The sequence below is a fragment of the Homo sapiens genome, chromosome 20 (assembly GCF_000001405.40).
Source record: "Homo sapiens chromosome 20, GRCh38.p14 Primary Assembly".
Taxonomy (NCBI): domain Eukaryota; kingdom Metazoa; phylum Chordata; class Mammalia; order Primates; family Hominidae; genus Homo; species Homo sapiens.
Window position 1 is genome coordinate 1,080,391 of NC_000020.11, and position 19,603 is coordinate 1,099,993.

At 42.4% G+C, this 19,603-nt stretch overlaps 2 annotated features.

Moving 5' to 3' along the window:
• Positions 5,921 to 6,020: a silencer, noted in NCBI's record as "silent region_12586". NCBI's record gives its function as "represses an Ori minimal core promoter by ATAC-STARR-seq in GM12878 lymphoblastoid cells {active_cell/tissue: GM12878}" and the evidence as "EXISTENCE:reporter gene assay evidence [ECO:0000049][PMID:35858748]".
• Positions 6,201 to 6,702: an enhancer, noted in NCBI's record as "NANOG hESC enhancer chr20:1067234-1067735 (GRCh37/hg19 assembly coordinates)". NCBI's record gives its function as "activates a minimal SCP1, AML or CMV promoter by ChIP-STARR-seq in primed H9 embryonic stem cells {active_cell/tissue: H9 hESC(primed)}" and the evidence as "EXISTENCE:reporter gene assay evidence [ECO:0000049][PMID:30033119]".

Genomic DNA, 19,603 nt, shown 5'->3' on the forward strand with positions numbered 1-19,603 from the left:
GGGGCTTCAGCTGGGAAGATTCAAATAGCTGGAGCTAGAATCATCGAGAGGCTTCTCTACTCAGATATCTGCTCTCTGGGCTGGGATGACTCAAAGGCTGGACTCGGCTGGGACTGTCCACTGGGGCACCTACACATGGCTTCTCCATGTGGTCTGAGCTTCCCACAGCATGGTGGCTGTGTTCTGAGACGAAGTGTCCTGAGCGTGGGAGCTGCAGATGAAAGCTGCATGGCCTTTTATGGCCTGGCTTCAGTTCCATAGTGTCACTTCTACCATACTCTACTGGTCAAGCAGCCACATACCCACCCAGATCCAAGGGAAGGGGAGCACAGACTTCACCTCTTGATGGAAGAGCATCAATGAATTTGCAGCCATTTATAAAAGCACCACACACTGTGTGGGCCACACCAAATGGGTCTGCAGGCTGGATTTGGCCAGAACATTGCTGGCAGCATCTCTGAAGGGTGGAAGTAGACTATGGCCCAGCTCACATAGTGAAGTGAGGTAGCAACATCCCCAGAATATGTATATGGGTATGGGGCCAAGACAGAGGGTGCCTGCCTGGGTGGGCTGCCACTGGAGCAAACGGCCATGTGGGACTGCTGGTCCAGACACCAGCATTCTGCCTGCTCACAGCCTTCCTCTCCCCTGACCACAGACATGGGCCCATCCCAAGCTACAGCCTGACCCCAAAACACATCTTCGCCATGGCTGAGTCATCCTCTTCCTCAGGGACCCAAAGCCCCAACCATGGTCCCTTCTTCTTCCTCTCTAGGAGGACATTTTTTTAAGTCCTTGCACCTAAAGGGCTGATCTCACTCTTTTTCTAGGTGCCATAGACTCAATGTGTCCATCCAAAATTCATATGTTGAAACCTAATCTCCAATGTGATGGTGTGTGGAAATGAGCCCTTTGGGAGATAAAGCCCTTATAAATGGGGTTAGTGCCCTTATGAAAGAGGTCCCAGGGAGATCTCTTGTCCCTTCTGCCATGTGAGGACACAGTAAGAAGACTATGAACAAGGAAGAAGGCCCTCACCAGACACCAAATCTGCCAGTGCCTTAATCTTGGGCTTCCAACCTCTAGAACTATGAGAAATAAATTTCTATTATTTATTTATAAGATAGCCAGTCTATGGTAGTTTGTTCAAGCAACATGAACAGACTAAGACACCAGGCAATCTGTCATAAGTGCCTCTGATGGGCCCAAGTGTTCCCAAGTTGGAAATACCTTCCTTACGCATCACTGTCTCAGAGGTGATCCCTAGAAGAGTGCACAGGAAAGAATATGCAAGGGAAACAAGGATAGCCAATGCACTTTTATGTAATACACACAATGACCCTGTGAAGCAATTATTCCAGTTTAAGAGATGAAAAAACTGAGTTTCACGGAAAATCCAAAACTTGCCAGGGACACCCAGGAAAATGGGTGGTTTCATACTAGGTGGAACTGGGGAATTGGCTTCAAAGTGCAAGTGAGCAGGACAAGAGAAGACCAGCTTGCTTAGACTGGAGGAGGTAGGTTAGGCAGAAGTGAGGTAGGCCAGGTGGGACCAAACGCTAAAGAGCCCTGCAAGTGCCACAAAGTGTCATGAACTTAATGAGTCAGGCAGTAGGGAACCATTCAAGGTTCTCGAGCTGAGGGATAACTTCACTAATTATGGCCAATGATGATGCAAGCAATTTCTTACAGAGTGCTTTATTTTGCAGATCTCCTTTTCCATGCGTTTCCTCATTTGTTTCCCACCTGTGTGGTTAGGCTCCCCATTTGCCATATGAGCAAAGTAAGAGTCCCAGAAGTTACAATATGACAAAATTACTACTAGCAAAGCCAACACAGGATGCAAGCCTCCTCCCTCCACACCCCAGTGAAGGGCAGTGGGGACTGCACGATACAGTGGGCATCTGCCATTCATTCTGGCCACCTAGCATCATTCTCCTTCAGCCCTTCGTTCCCTTTAGGGAACTCTCCCCCTACCTCTCCAAATGATTTTAATGGGGCTGTCAATCATGTGGTCCTATGCAAGAGTGAGCACCAGGCCAGGCTGACCAATTAGAGTCCTTCTCAGGGATTGACATGGATGCTCGGGGAAAGACAGTCTCAGGTTTTCTCTAGGGTTGCCAATGGCAATGAACCTCTGACAACTATCCTTTTGTCATATGGGGAATATCTGCTTGAGAATGACGTGAACAAACAAGACACCCAAGCTGAGAGATAAAGGTAGGAAGAGTGCACCTAGGACACCAATAAGATCCTACAGATTCAGCCATGTCTGGGTTTCTCAGTTTTGAAAAACACTTTGATTGGTTTTGTCACACGCACCTGAATCAGCCCTTGGACCTAAGCTTTATTTAGAAGTAAAATGGACTTGGGCTCTCTGTAAACCACAATTTCTTCATTTATCAAATAATAATAATCGGCTGGGCATGGTGGCTCACTCCTGTAATCCCAGCACTTTGGGAGCCCTAGGTGGGCAGATCATTTGAGGTCAGGATTTCAAGACCAGCTTAGGCAACATGGTGAAACCCCATCTCTACTAAAAATACAAAACTTAGCTGGGCATGGTGGTGCGTGCCTGTAGTCCCAGCTACTCAGGAGGCTGAGGCACAAGAATCACTTGAACCCAGGAGGCAGAGGCTGCAGTGAGCCGAGATCACGCCACTGCACTCTGGCCTGGGTGACAGAGTGAGACCCTGTCTCAAAAAAAAAAAAAAGAAAAAAATGAGAGAATAATCAAAATAGCAACTTAGCAACTTAGAGAGTTTCTGGAGAATTAAATATACTTCATAAACTGTGAGGTACCAAGAAAAGAAAAGAAAACTGTATTGAGGGACATGAAGGCCTAAGTAAATGGTGAAATATGGCAAATTCATGGATGAGATGTCTCAATATTATAAATATGATCATTTTCTTCGCTATTTAATTTACAATATAATCCAATTTTAGACAAAACTAAATTAATGAACAATGCAAATTAGGCAGTATTTTAAAACAGGGTGGCTATTTTCAAAATGACAGTGTTAATATTTTTAAGTTGAGGTGCCATTATGCTGAGATAGCTCCAGTGCTTTGGGTTCCTATGTAAGCAAATCAAAGCCTAATGTAAACCGTAAAATGATCCTGGAGACTTAGCTAATTTGAAACCGCCAACTAACCTCTAGGGACTTTCCACCAGATCGTGCCCAAATAAGGCAAACACCTACTTGTAGCCAGTCAAGCAATGTCTTTGCTTTGCTTCCACATTCACCCTATAAAAGCCTGCAGCTCAACTGCTAAAGTGGAGCTCTCTGAACCTCTTCTAGCTCTGAGTACTGCCCAATTCATGAATCACTTTTTTGCCCAAATAAACTCTGCTAAATTTAATTTGTCTAAAGTTTTTCTTTTAACAACAGAATGGACCGTATTTTTAGTTCCCAAAGCTCTCTCTTGCTCCCTATAAGAGAATTATACTTCCTGTGCCATTGACATCAGGCCTGGACATGTGACTTACTTTGGCCAATGATATATGACCTGAGTGAGGTAATGCCACTTCTAAGCAGAAGCCTTAAGAGCCACCACGTTTCCACTGTGGCTTTTCTCTGCCTTCCACCAGAATAGTGTATTCCAAATAGGGTTGTTTTATCAGCTGGGTCCCAGGAAGAAGAGGATTTGGCCAGAGCTGCAGCCAGTCCTGAGTGTAAGGTGAATAAGAAATAAATATTTGTTGTTGTAAGCCAGGGAGATTTGACGGTTATTAGTTATGCCAGCATAACTTAGGGAAACTGACTAACACAGAAGTATAACCTAATGAATTGACAAAATGCTGCCATTTTTATGCTTCATTAAAACATAAATGAAAACTTTTTGTAAAATAGTACCTAGATGCTTTACATTGGTTTCTCATTGTTCTGCTAAACATGAGCATTCCCAAAAATGTTTACAATAATTTATATTTTTAAAAAAGCATTTTGTGAGCAAAACAAGCTTGGGGAAATGCTGCAGGTCACTGTCTTTCTCATGAGATTCATCCCTCATATTAGCATATTAAAGTCTCTGCAAAGTCCTACAGTAAAGAAACCTTTACTAACTCAGTATTTCTTGAAGTTATTTGGTGATGAACCTCAGCCCACCAATTAACATGTCATGAGAGATGAGGATACAGGTTTTTCTCAAAATGAGTATTTTTCTCTCAGCTATCATGGATTTAGCACTAGGTGCATGTATTATTTAAATCCTATAATGACCCCTCTGAGAGAGGCATCATCAGTTCCCATTTTATATCTGAGAGAAAATAAAGGCTAGGAGAGAGAAATTGACTTGCTCAGAAAAACCACAGCAAAAATATAAATGAATGAATAAATGAATGATGGAGCCAGGACTTGAATCACAAGTCTGGCAATAAAGACCAAGCTCTTAACCTACCTTCCTCTTGCCTCCAAAATCAACTCCTGGATTCTGGAGCTAATGATGAAAGCCCTTCATCAGTTGAAACCACAGTACCTACCCAATCCAATCCTCTCCATTTTACTCCACACCACACCTCCTCATTTTCCACTTACCATCTTTTTGGCCATTTGTTTCTCACTAAGGGCATTCCTTCCTGCCACCATCCTAACACATCTTTTCCATCCTTAAGCTTTAAGTCTTAACTTATGATCCCTCGTCCAAGAAGCCTCCCTTGATTACTTTTCCCCCAGCAAACTTTCTCTGATATTACGTGTATAGATAGTGGAGCAGAACATTTCCCTGAGATGCAAATTTTCAGATACCCTCTCAGACCTACTAAATCAGAAACTCTGGAGATAGGAATCAGAAATCTGGACTTTAACAAGCCCCCCACGTAAGACAATGATGTACTTCAAGTTTAAGAACCATGTTGGTCTAAGCCAACCATGTTGGTTCCTTTCCCTGACTAGCAATTAGCTTAGTAAGAGACATTGGACCAAGTTCTGGACAGAGATGTGAGAGGAATAGGCAAGAAAGGGGCATATGGGGGAATTTCCTCACTCTAATAAGAGACATACTGAAAAAGGCTATACCCATTAAGGTGTTTTTTATTTCAAGCAGTAAAAAATCTAGCTAACATAGGCTTAAATAAATAGAAATTTTATCCTTCTCATTTTCAAAAAATCTAGAGGTTGACAGTGACTGTGATGCTAGTCATCACAGGCTCAGCAATGTCTGTGATTTTCTTGGCCTCTCCTTCTGAATACAGGATGGCTGCCACAGTTCAGGCATCACATCATATTCCAGGCAGGAGGAGGAGGTAGGGAAGGCTGCTGCAAGCAATGTCTGTTTCTCTTATCAGGAAAGTAGAGGCTTCCACTCATTTCTCATTGGCTGGAATTGGCCATGTGGCCACTTCTGGCAGTAAAGTGGATATTCAACTTTTCCAGCCTCCTTAATGAAGACAGGCAAGGAAGGGTTAGGGCTGATATGGGGCAAGCATATCCAAAGCGTCTTCCTCACTGAGATCAGTTCTAGCTTCTCGTAGCTAAAAAGCTTCCTGACAGGAAGTGTTACCGGTTTCTTTCTCAGTAGTTGGGGGGAATTAATAAAATAGTGTATGATTTAGGCCCAGGGTGGTCTCAAAAACGAGATAAGGATTCACCACGATTGGTATGAACTTCTCCAGCATGACTCTCCACTTCTCTTATCTGTCTTTATGTTTTCTACAGAATCATTCATCTGAGAATATCAGGGACATGGGCCCTTAGAATTCACCAACAGAGTGAGCAAGGGAGAATGGTTCTGGTTCTGAAGTGAGAGAGACCCAGGGTTAACTTTTGGTCTGTCACTTCTACCTCTCTGAGCCTCAATTTCCTCTTCTGTAAAATGGGGTTAATGAAAGCCCGCATCTCCCCCAGGGCAGATATGAGGATGAAATAAAGTTCACCATATAAAGCAATGAGCTCAGTGCCTAGTACTAAGATAGGTGCTCAGTGAACCGGTACCTATTACTGTCATTTCTCTCACTATTTTAGCACAAACCTCTTTTTGTGCAGCCGAGGAGGTTGCTGTTATGATGTCAGGCCACTGAAAATTAGTAGGCAGGTTTCTTATTACGCCTCCTTAGGGGTTGCTTTAACAAAAGCAAAACTAAATTCTCATTAGCACATCACTCATTTCCATGTACATGAGCATCATCATAGGCATGAAAATGGCACCCTTGAGAGGAGGGGGAAGAAGATGCCTCCCCCTTCAGCCCCTTTATCAGAAGATCAAGCCCAGTGTGGGGAGGGGAGGTCAGTGGTCGTTCCTCCTATTCCAGGACAGAGGTGGCCAGCATTCCTAGCTGCCCTCTGCACTTCCTGACATTTGTGGTTTAATCAAGCCCCATTAATCCCTCCCTGTTTCAAAGCTCAGCACAGGAACCACAAACTCCCACAGCCTCTGACAGGAATCATGTGGCTAAAGCCAAGGGGAACTCTTTGAAAGGTAATTAGCATCTTTGAATTCAGGGCCCTTTGATTTTGCTTCCTGGCTTTAAACGATCACAGAACATTTTGCAGAAAAGGGGGAAAACATAAAGGCAGCAGCTACAGCCCCTTACACTGGGCCTTCTGCAGCCTTTCAAGTTGTGATGTGGCCTGAGAGAGGAAACTTGCAAATATGATTAAGTGTGGGTGAGTTGTTGAGTTGTACCAGGGGCCATGCATTCATTCATTCATTCATTCATTCACTCAGTCTCACAAGGCACCATGCTAAACACTGGATGTACAGTTTTCATTGATCATTCATTCAATCAATCATTCATTTACTAATATCCCTGGATCAAACACTGAGCTAAGCTCCAGGGCTATAAGTTTATTGTTTAATGGGAGAGGCAGACAAGAATTAAATAAATAAAAACAATTGCTGTTAAGAATAAAGTACCAAGAACTAAATAAACTGAGTATTCATCCAGCGAGGAGAAAGAGATCATCTTTACAATAGGTACTTAGGGAAGGCCACTCTGAGGAGGGAACAGTGCCTGTAGGCACCATGATACATAGAAGCCAGTTATTTAATACAGGGCATAAGGGGATCATATGTCAATAGAGGTTTGTACTGTTGCCATGTTTGGGAGGATTAAGGAAAGCCGCAGAGAGCAGATGTAGGAGTAAGTGTAAGCCAGTTAATGCTGTTGTTACAACCCTGAAGTCTGAAACCACAGAGGTAGATATTTTGCTCAACACACGTGTCGTGGTTTGGCTGTGGCTCTGCTCACACCATCATCGTCATCCTTACTCCAGGGCCCAGTTGCTGAGGCCTAAAGAAGAGAGAATTCTCAAGGGTTTCAAACCTGCTGTTAAATGCTCCAGCCTGGAAGAGACATGTGTTACTTGTACCCACAACTCATTGACCAGCTCTTATCACATAACCTCAATCCAACTACAGGGGGGCCAATAAGCAGTATCCTACACTGTGTCTGGGAGATACAGACATGTTTGGTGAAGAGCCACCTCACTGTGGACTGAGCTTTGCAGCAGAGAAGCAGGACATGTGAATTGCAGACAGAGGAAATAGAATGTGCACAGACACAGAGGGATAAAATAGTTTGGAGTGTTCGGGTAGCTAGAGTACTGGCAGGGCTTAAAATGGAGCTGAAAAGGTAGCCATAAAACCCCCTGAGATGGGTACTATTATGATTTTCATTTCTGAGATGATAAAATTGAGGACACAACTAGTGAATGGTTGAACTGATACTTGAACTGACACAGTCTGATCCTAGCATCTGAACTTTTAATCCTCATGCCATATTGCCTTTAAGGTATGGAGGGACCAGAATACAGAAGATCTTTAATGCCAGGAAGGAGATCGGCCTCAACAGGCTAAGCAGTAATATTTTTACAAGTCTTGGTTGTGGTTGTTTAAAATACACACATTTTTTATGCATATTAAATATACAGATACATTCTTCTTTCCTAATAAGAAATGCGGTCCCCCTTGATTATTTTTAAAATGGGAGATTCTCTTAGTGTATCTTTTCTTTGCCGTCTTTTGATATAGAAGAGCTTTCAGGGAAGTATTTCTTTACAGTAAGAAACAACCCAAGGATAATTGTTAATAATCACTGAAATTCATTTTCTCCTTTAAGGATACAGTCAGGAATGGTGGGATCTGTGGTAAACTAGAAAGAATTATGTCTCTTGCAAAGAGGGAAGTTGTTGTTCACTTCCATCCTATTGTCACATGTGGAAATGTGGAATAATTTAAATATTTTAGATATTTTGTGAAATCTCACAATTTTAAAATATCAACTTAAAGCATGGTACAAGCCTAACAAAACACATCTGTGAGCCAAAATGCTCATGGAAGCATTGATTTTTGTCTTCCATATGGTGGCCAGCCTCTAAGATGGCCCCAAATTATCCCACATCCTGGTATTTATTCCTTTGTGTCATCTTTTCTACATTGAATTACAACTGGCCTGAGTGATCAGTAGAATATGGCAGAAGTGACAGCGTGTGACTTCTGAATCTAGCTCCTAAGGGCACTGAGCTTCCACCTTGTTCTCTTAGACTGCTCACTCTGAGGACAGCAGTCACCATGCCATGAGGACACTTAAGCTGTCTTGTGTTGAGGCCCATGTAAAAAGGAACACAGGCCCCACCCAGCCTATAGCCAGTATCAACTGTCCAGCTATGTAAGTAAGTCTCCTTGGATGTGGATCTTTCAGCCCCAGTCAAACCTTCAGATGAGCATAGCCCCAGCCAATACCTAACTGCAACCTCATGAAAGGTCCTGAGCCAGAACCACCTAGTCAAGCTGCTCCCAAATTCTTGACTCATAGAAACCATGACAGATTGGTAAATGACTGTTGTTGTGTACAGCCAGTGGTTAATGAACTATCTCTAAAGGGCCTAAAAGGAAGTATTTTTGTCTCTGTCACGATAATTCAACTCTGCAAAAGCAGCTATAGATGATACATAAATGAATAGGTGTGGCCGTGTTCCAACAAAACTTTATTTACAAAAACAAGCAGCAGGCCAGATTTGGCCTGAGGATTTTAGTTTGTCAACTTTGAGTTTAAGCCACTATGGTTTGCAATTTGTCATGTGGTCATATATAACTAATCCACTCCCTGAATTCGTGAAGTGGCCTGAATAGAACATGTTTCAGACAAAGCACATTGTTAGTAATTTAGAGGCCAAATTAGAAGAAGCTAGTGGAAGGGTGAGCCTGGAAGGGCAACGGTTCTAGGAAGAGATGATGGGCCCAGGCTTGGGTGGGGAGATGTATGAATCTAGGTGAGGCATAACTGTCTTCTGTGCTCCCTGCCAATCAACATGACAAGGAGGATGTTAAAACCATAATGGAGACCGTTGCCTTTAATTCTCCCTTCAGTGTCTGGTGTTGCCCTTGAACAGTCCTGGTAACGAGCAAATGGAGCAGACAGGGAGGAAGGCTTTCCCCCACAATGCTGCAGAAAACTCACAGAGCCAGCACAATGTGTAAGCTCCTCAGCTGGTAACAAGATGCTTGACACCAGCTGAGCCATGAGCCCAGAATAAAGAAATGCCCTGTAGAAGATTCCAGGAACACTGGCTGTTGCCCAGTCACTCCACCCCTTCCATGCACACTCTGCCACCTGTTCCTCTAGCCCCTCTGAGGACCCCATTCCCACCCCTGTGAGTCAAGGGAGCAGTGAGGCCAGTGCACATGGACAGACCAGAGCCAGAAACGTCTGCAATACGATGGGTAGGGAAGCAAGGGTGGGGGAAGAAATAGAGATAGAAGATGGAGAAATAAAAGGGAGGAGAAGAAGGAGGAAAGGTGAGGAAGAGAGAACCAATAGTCCAGAAGAGGCTGGATGCAAGGATTGGAAAAATGAATCGACTGGGTTCAATTCAAACCCAGTGAATAGAACCCCAGGCAAAATCTGGTCTCTGTCTTGATCCATCAGTGTGGACCTCATTCTCCAGCAGTCTAGGTGACTACAGCTTCTGGATTCCAAATCCACACAAAGCAATGTCAATCTTCCAGTAGTTTTGGGATTCACTCTAATTGGCTCTCAGTTCATGTGCCTTATACCTGAACCAATCACTGCAGTTCAGGAAATACCTAATTCTGATGGGCTTTCATGTCACAGGCCCACATACCTGAACCAATCACCATGGTTCAGGGAATACCTAACTCTGATTGGCTTGAGATCAACACTCCACCTTCGCCCTCCCAGGCTGAAGGAAGGAGAGGACTGAATCCCAAAAAGAAAACCATGACTTTTGCCAGAAGAAAAAGGAATGGATGTAAGATGAATCCTTTTGAGTTCTACTTCCTGCTAGAACTTCTGGGAGAATGATTTGTCAAGCATCTTCCAGTCTGGTGCAACCATTATTAGACACCCACTGTGAGAGCTGGAATGGCTGGTTGACAATTTCCGTTTTGATTTCTTCCTCTGATCAGGCCCAGAGAGGGAAGGATGTGCCTGCATAGGCACAATTCTAGGCCTTGGGCACCAAGTCCAACACTCTCTGGCAACGAGGTAGGCCACGAGTCAGACTCCAAAAGGAGTCGATGGGTGGGTAGGGTTTGTGTGTGTGGCAAGCAGGGAGGACAGAGCTTCTCTCCAAGGGAGCTCTGCTTCTTTGGCTCTCTCCTCCTTTGAGGACCTAAGAGTCTGGTGAGGGAATGAGACAGATACATGAGTGTGGTCATGGCATTATAGAGGGAAGCATTATATAGGGGGTGGGGGTCCAAACACAGGCCCTTGCTCAGCTTGAGGAGGTCAAGGAGGCTGCCTGGGAGCAGTGACGTTTGAGCTGAATTTTAAAAGATGAGCACCAGTTAGCTGGAAAGAGGGAAAATGCCTTCCCACAGATGAGAACAGGTACAAAAGCTCATGATGTGGTTGTAGAACAGTAAATGACACCGTGCACCTGGATGCACCAGTGAGGAGTGGGTGATAGACCTGAGGATGTCGGCAGGCCCTGGTGACACAGTTTTCTTTTTTTTTTTTTTTGAGACAGAGTCTTGGTCTGTTGCCCAGGCTAGAGTGCAGTGGTGTGATCTCAGCTCACTGCAAACTCCGCCTCCCGGGTTCAAGCGATTCTCCTGCTTCGGCCTCCCAAGTAGCTGGGAATACAGGTGCCTGCCACCATGCCCAGCTAATTTTTTAGTAGAGATGGTGTTTCACCATCTTGGCCAGGCTGGTCTCGAACTCCTGACCTCATGATCCACCTGCCTCGGCCTCCCAAAGTGCTGGGATTACAGGCATAAGCCACCGTGCCCGGCCCACAGTTTTAAGTTCTACAGCTGAAGTTGAGTGAAGGCTTGATATTCTTCTCCACCTCTGTGGAAACTGGGAAGGGCAGGGGAAGATTTTACGATGGGGAGTGACCACTTGTAAATGTGCCAATGGCTTTGATCTTGGAGGGCTGAAGGGTGATACAGATGTGTGAATCAGGATTCCTGGTTGTAGGGAGCAGAAGCCAGCCAACTCCAACCACCTTGGCCCAAGTGCAGTTTGGGAAGGGATCCTGGGGCAACACATGTTATCAATCCAAATTGGCTGTATGAAGCAGCCATGGGGAGGTGACAATATAACTTGGTGTTTTCTTTCTGGAAGGCATTTGGGTAAAATGAGCTAGATTCCACTTTTAGGAATTCATCCAAAGAAATTCATCCAAAGAAAAAGTAAAGATGAGAGCAAAGATTTAGTTTCATACATGTTCATTGCATCACTGTGTATACAGGAAATAATAGGAAACAATCTGAATGTCCCACAGTAGAAGCCCAGCCTGTGTAATGAGTCTGATGGTGGATGGCCCTTCAGTCATTCCATCTGCTGCTGTGGTAAGGATTGGTAATTCCCAGGCATTTTTGTCCATCGGCTAAGGCTGCTCTATGAAAATGTTTTTGCTAGTCTATAGTAAAATCAGAAAAACAGAGACCACACCAAAATGTTCACAAAACTTTTTTTTTTCTGTAACATTATCTCTGCTCAACTTCTTTGGCTTGGTGATGATAATGGATGTTGACTCATTTCATCTTTCCAAGACGCAAATAACAAAAAATACAATTAACAATGGCACAAACAAATAGGGGCTTACTTTTTAACATGAAAAGAAGTCTGGAGATAGATGCCCCTGGGGAAATATCAGTGCTCACCAACACTAGGCAGATAGGGGTCTCTGTGATTCTCTGGCCCTTTCTTTCATGATCCCACCATGGCTGTCACTGTTCTTGGCATAGTGTTCATGTTCAAGGTAGGAAGAGGGAGGGTGAAATGGAACCAATGATTCTTTCCCTTCCTCATGTATCTCATTGGCTAAACTGGGTCACAAGGACACCCTTAGCTGCAAGGAAGTCTAGGAAATCAAGAATCTGGCAGAGGGAATGAGATTACCGTGTCAGGTTTACTAATGGTGATTAATTGCCCAGGACAGGGTACCTGAGCCCCTCAAACAAAACTAAGAAAGAAAGGGATAGAGGAGTAGGAAATGGTTACTGAGTGAGCAGCTAGGCATGCCTGCCATAACTAATGGGAAGAAAGTTGGCAACCCTAGGTCAGCCCCCCAACAACCCTAATTTTTGGAAGGTGGAATTTACTGCTCCATGAAATGATGGACACTAGGAAGCACTGGAATAGAAGACTGATTTTCAAACCAGATTCTTGTGTTGCCCAGAGTTATTGAGGGGCTGCTGTTAGGGCAGGAAGGTGGAGGAAGGGGTGGAGATACTGGTCCCCAATCTTCCTGCCACTTTTATTGGAGTATTATATTGAGTATATGCATAAAATTATACTTGCTGTACAGTAGTGCCCCCTTATCCTCAAGGGATAATATCTTTTTTTTTTTTTTTTTTTTTTTTTTTTGGAGATGGAGTCTCACTGTGTCACCAGGCTGGAGTGCAGTGGCGTGATCTCGGCTCACTGCAACCTCCACCTCCTGGGTTCGAGCGATTCTCCTGCCTCAGCCTCCCGAGTAGCTGGGACTATGGGTGCTCGCCACCACGCCCAGTTAACTTTTGTATTTTTAGTAGAGATGGGGTTTCACCATGTTGCCCAGAATGGTCTTGATCTCTTGACCTCATGATCCACCTGCCTTAGCCTCCCAAAGTGCTGGGATTACAGGCATAAGCCACTGTGCCTGGCTCAAGGGATAATTTCTAAGACCCCCTGTGGATGCCGGACACTACCGCTAGCACCAAACAACCTGATTACCATCAATCAGAACTCATTTCTGTTCCTATCTTCCACCCACAATTGTAATGCCTTTTCCATTTTAACCAAGCACTTATTATATACTATGGCCATAACTTTTGCAGTTTGAGGTATGACAGCAAAATTAGCATACATTTCATTTTCCTTCTTCACATTTTCATAGATGGAAGAGTCTTTCTTACCACAGATCATAGCAACCTCGGCATATGACTTTTTTCTTTCCCTATTAAGTCAAGAACTTTTATCTTGACTTTTCACTTAAAGGAAGCACTTTACAGCTTCTCTTTGGCATATCCAAATTCCCAACATCACTACTCTTGCACTTTGGGGCTGTTGCTAAGTAAAATAAGGGTGACTTGAACACAAGCACTGCAACACCAGGACATTCGATCTGAGACCTGAGCCAACTACGATGTAACTAACAGTCGGGGACTGTGTACAGCATGGGTATACTGGACAAGAGGATAATTTCATCACACTACTGAGAATGGCATGCAGTTTAAAACTTATGAATTGTTTATTTCTGAAATTTTCCATTTAATATTTTTGGACCGTGGTTGACCTTAGGTAACAGAAACCAAGGATAAGTGGGGGGTATTATATACATATATGTATATATGTATGTTTATCTGTATATGTGTGTGTATATGCATATATGTGTATCTTTACATATATACATACATACATAAAGATATAGAAGGATACATAGCAGGGATTTCAAACTGGTGGCCCCTGAAGTGGAAATCAATATTTAAAATCTCTCTGACTTTTGAATTCGTTTACACCTGACTTTGTATTCTCCATTACTTCACAGATTCAGACATTCCTGATTTTTTAATGTCAAAGTTCACATATTTGTATTAATATTTATATAAATTAACTCACCCTATGCACACATTTATATTAATTTTACTACCACCCAATTCACATTTATATCAACTGCCTGGCCCCATAAGCATTTAGTTCGTGACTCTGAATATGCCCAGGCATTAACTATGGTTCTCTCTAGGTCATGAGTCGTTTTTAATTTTTTCTTTTTCCTGGTCTGCCCTGTCTAATTTTGCTAAAATAAACAAACATGGCTTTTGTAATAATGGAGAAAGACGCCATTTTAATTAAAAAGTAATAACAATGTGGCCTGTGGCCCTCTGGGCTGTTTGGGCCACGCTCCACTGGCCCCCACTGAGCCTGGCTTTTCTGGGCTGCTGCTCTTCCTGCCTCCCCAGCCTGCCTCAAATGTGTCGCCAAGTGAGCGGCTGGGGTCCCTTCCTTTCCCTGTGACTGGGGTCCAGTGAGAGCTGGCGGTTGGATACTGTCTGAAGAATGGGCCCTTCCTGGAAGCGTTTGGAAACCCAGTTGGGGTCTGAGGTCCTTTCAAACGCTGAACTCAAGCGTGGGGACTCAGTCCCTGGAAATGCCAACTGCTTTACTCTGACTGGGACTGTTGATAGATATATTGCTTCATGCTAATGTGGTATTATCACAACACAGTTCCACTCTCAGCTACTGCAAGTCACTAAGACAACATCTGGTTTGAATCTTTTCTCATTATGGCCTAAAAAAATAAAAGCTGAAATCCAAACCACTCCTTTAACACTCTGTCTCTCTTTTTTCTTCCTCTCCCTTTTCTCTTTCTTTTGCACTCCAGAAACTTCAAATGAGGGGGAGGAGTTTAGAAATTGTCCATCTTATGTGCCCTTCTCCCCATTTTACAGATGGGGACGCTGAGGCCCAGGGAGGAGCAGTGACCTGCTATATCACAAACCTTGTTAAGGTAAGCAGCTCAAGTCTCCCAGGTTTCTTATCTGCAAGCCAGGATGGCACTGACCTCTCCCCACATCACCTTTAAGGGACCCCCTCAAGGGGCAGACAGGATGGGGCATGGTGATCAGTAAGGAGCCTAGGCAAGCATTAGCTGTTGCCACCGTCCAAGGGCTTCTAGTTAATTGGTAGCAGAATTAGGTCTTTCTAGAATCTGAGTCCTCTGATTTCCAATGGTAATGTACTCTACAATTTACTCGGGAGGAAGGACTAAGATCATAACACTAATATCTTCTAACGTGCTGGATGCTCCACTAAGTGTTTTATGAATAGTGCAACATCACAGAGGAGAGCAACGTGCTGGAGCCCAGCTACGACCTTGAGCAAGCACATCACTCTTGAAACCTCTTTCCACTTGTGAAAAATGGAAACAGTAATGGGGTAACGAGATTGTTAAGAGGATGAAATGAGAGCTTGTGTGTATAGGGCTAGGTTTTACCATGATGCATACATGTGCACAAATGATGCAGGCTTTACTTTCTCTAATGGATCTGTGTGTGTGTGTGTGTGTTTGTGTGTGTGTGTGTGTAAGAAGCTCCTGGGGATCTTGCTTCTCCTCTCTCTACTTCTTCTCTACTTCCTTCTCTCTACTTCTCTTTCCCTGACTTCTCTCTCTTCCCTGATCTTCCTTCCTAGACACACAGGACATCCCTAACAACTTATCCTAGATTTTTTCTACCTATGAAAAAATAGGTAGAAAAGTGGATCTTGCTTATAGTCAGGATCCATCTTGCTGCCCAGCAGGCCAGGCTTTTCATGTATGGATGGGAACCTAAAGAGTTGGAAAGATTAGCTTCTCTCTAAAAAAAAAAAAAAAAAAAAAAAAAAACACTGGCTTTCAAGACTATTTCTTTGTGAGGAACCCGTAATTCCTATTTGGAAGGTCCAAGGTTCAACATAAACTTTTTTCCCTTGAGCTCCTGCTGTAACACTCTTGATCCCCACTGATACCTCTGGCTTTCTCGGGAGAAAGCTAAGGAACAAGGAAAGGGAAAGAAGAAAAGCCCAGTGAAATATTTCAAAATCTTAGTCCTTATTACACTTCTGGGAAGCATTTACTCAGTGTCTGGAACTTAAGTAGAAATCAGTGATCTCAGCGATTACCCTTTTTTTCACGTATTCCCCACAATAGTAGACATTATCATTATCTATTTGCTTCGAAAATAAGCCATTTTATTCAAGTATAATTCATATACAGAAAAGTGCACAAACCCTAAGTGTACAGATTAATATCAAAGTGATATTAAGTAACACACTAAGTGACTGTCACTCTTCATATTCCCCCCCTCCTCATGTTCCCTCCCCTTCCCTGCCCCAAATAGCAACCTCTCTCATGACTTCTAACACCATGGACTCATTTTACCTGTTTTTTCACTTTATGTACATGGAATCATGCAGTACAGTACAGTATTGTGTCTGGCTTCTTTCATTGAAAATTATAATTGTGAAATTCATCCATGTTGTTGCATGAATTAGAAGCTCATTTATTTTTGTTGCTCTTTAGTTTTCTATATATGAGTAAACCACAATTTATTTATTCATTTTACTGGCAATGTACTTTAACATTTTTCCCAGTTTGGGGCTTTTGTAGAATTCTATGAACACTTTGTATTTGTCTTCTGGTGCACATGGGTACTCATTTATATTAGGCATAAACCTAGGAGTAGAATTGATAGTCCACAGGGTATGCATATATTTGGCTTTATTAGATACTATCAATTTTCCAAAGCTGCTGTACCAATGTAAAGTAAGATGTATAAAAGTTTCACTTGCCCTACATTCTTGTTTATACTTGGCATTGTCAGAGTTTTCCTTTTTAGCCATTCTGGTGAATGTGTAGAGTTATCTCATTGAGGCGTAAATTTTCCTTTCCCTGATAACCAGTGAAGCTGAGCACATTTTCAATTGCTTATTGGCCATTTGGATATTCTCTTTTGTGAAGAGCTTGTTTGGGTGTGTTGTCCCTTTTTAAATTGAATTGCCTTTTTCTTAACGACTGAAGGCACTTTTTATATGTTCTATTTGACAAGTCCTTTTTTGGTTGTTCATACAGCAAATGTGTTCTTTTACTCTGTAGTTTACCTTTTGCTTTTTTGATAATGTCTTTGGATGAACAGACATTCCTAATTTCAATAAAGTCCAGTTTATCAATCTTCCTTTATGATTAGCATTTCTCTGAACCATTTAAGGAATCTTTGCCTAACCTAAGGACAAGAATATATTTACCTATTGTTTTGATTTTCAAATTTAGATTCACAAATCACCTGGGATTTATTTATTTATTAATTTAATGGTGTGAGGTAGGGAATTGTCTTAGCTTAGGCTGCTATATCAAAATACCATACATTGAGTGTCTTGAACAACAGACATTTATTTCTCACAGTTCTAGAGGCTAAGAAGTCCAAGATCACAACATTCAGTTTCTGGTGAGGGTCCCCTTCCAAGTTTGCAGATGGCCACATTCTTGCTGTGCTTATGTGGCCTTTCCTCTGTGTGAGCACATGGAGAGAGAGAGAGAGATCTCTCTGTCTTCCTCTTCTTAAAAGGGCACTAATCCCATCAGGAGGAGCTCACCCTCATGATCTAATCTAAGCCTCCTTACCTCCCAAAATCCCATCTCCAAATATCATCACATTTGGTGTTAGTGCTTCAACATATGAATTTGGCATGGGTGGGGTGAAGGGTAAGGGGGACAAAAATATTCATCCCCTAACAGGAATCAAGGATTTATTTTTTCCCAAATGGACATCCTATTGCCCTATCACCATTTATTGAAAAGTCTGCTTTTTCCTCACTGTACTACATGGTCATTTTTGTCCTAAATCATCACATACAGGTGGGGCTGTTTCTAGATTCTGTGCATTCCATTGGTCTCTTTGTGCCAATACTACCTTACCTCAATTACTGATTTTATAATTTACATCTCTGCTAGAGTGAAATCCTAATTTCTTCTTCAAGATTTTATTTGGCTATTCTTGGCTCTGGGTTTTCATGTAAATTTTAGAATAAGATTGACTTTTTTTTTTTTTCAAAGAAAGAAAGAAAAATTTCCTGAGGCTTAATCAAGACTGCATTAAATTTGTAGGCCCAATCAGGAAAAGGTGACATCACTGCAAGTTGAACAAACATGAACATAGATGATACCCATTTTAGAGATAAGAACATTAAATTTAGGATCATTAACGGAGAAGTGTGACCCAATCATCTCTGAAACAGGATGATCACAAGCCCTGATAAAACACACTGTCAAGATTAACTCCTTGGAGCTTGCTGGAGGAGCTCGGAGCTTGGCAAGAGTAGTCCTACACTCAATCAGTTTGAGAAGAGAAACAGCCTTGGCCAGGGGAAGGACCCCAGATGACAGAGGTAGATGGGCTTAACATGTTCCTACCCCTACACAGATTAAGTGTGCCTTGAGCCCATCACCTGTCTTCACTGAGCCGCACATACTTGAGAGTCATTTTTATTCTGCTTCTTTCTTTCCTGCTTTTTCTTCTCTAACAAGTGGAGGTTGATATAGGACAAAGAACAGTTAATTTATTCCCCCATTCCCCTAAGCCTTATTTTAAAAGTTAAAAAATAATAAGAGCTAGTGTTTAATGAGCTTACCCTGTGTCTAGCAGTGTTCTAAAACTTTTTTAAAATTAAGAGATAATTTACATACTGTAAAATTCACCCTTTTAAAAGCATCAAATTCAGTGGTTTGTGCAACGATTGCCACTATCTATTTCCAGAATATTTTTATCACCCTAAAAACCTCCCACTGGAGTGAACCCTAATGTAAACTATGGCTTTAGGTGATAATGATGTGTCAATGTAGATTCACTGATTGTAGCAAATGTACCACTCTGGTGTGGGATTTTGATAGTGGAGGAGGCCATGCATATATGGGGGGAGAGGGTATGTGGGAAATCTCAGTACCTTCCACTCAATTTTGCTGTGAATTGAAAACTGCTCTTTAAAAGGTCTATTAAAAAAGAAAAAAGGAAGAAACCTCATACCCATTAGCAGTCACTTCCAATTCCCCCTCCCACAAGCCCCCAGCAACCATTAATCTACTTTATGTTTCTAAGGATTTGCCTATTCTGGACTCATATGAAGAGTCGTACAATATGTGGACTTTTCAGTCTGGCTTCTTTCACTTAGCATTGTGTTTTCAAGGTTCATCCATGTTGTCACATTGTCACAACAAAGTTAACAAAGTACTGTATCAGTATTTCATTCTTTTTGATGGCCGAATAATATTCTATTGCATGGCTACATCACATTTTGCTTATCTATTTATCAGTTGATGGAACACTTACGTAGTTTCCACCTTTTGGTTAATATGAGTAATGCTGCTATGGACATACATGTAATAGTAATGCTGCTATGGACATACATGTACAAGTTTTTGTGTGAATATGTGTTTTCACTTCTATTGAGTGTATAACTAGGATTGGAATTCATGGGTTATAGTCATGGGACTTCTAGGTTTAACTCTTTGAGGAACCGCCAAATCGTTTTCCAAAAGGGATGCATCATTTTACATTTCTACCAGCAACATATGAGAGTTCCAATTTCTCCACATTCTCACCAGCATGTTATTGCCCCTCTTTTTTTTTTATTATACCATCTTAGTGGATGTGAAGTGGTATCTGATTCTAATTTTGATTT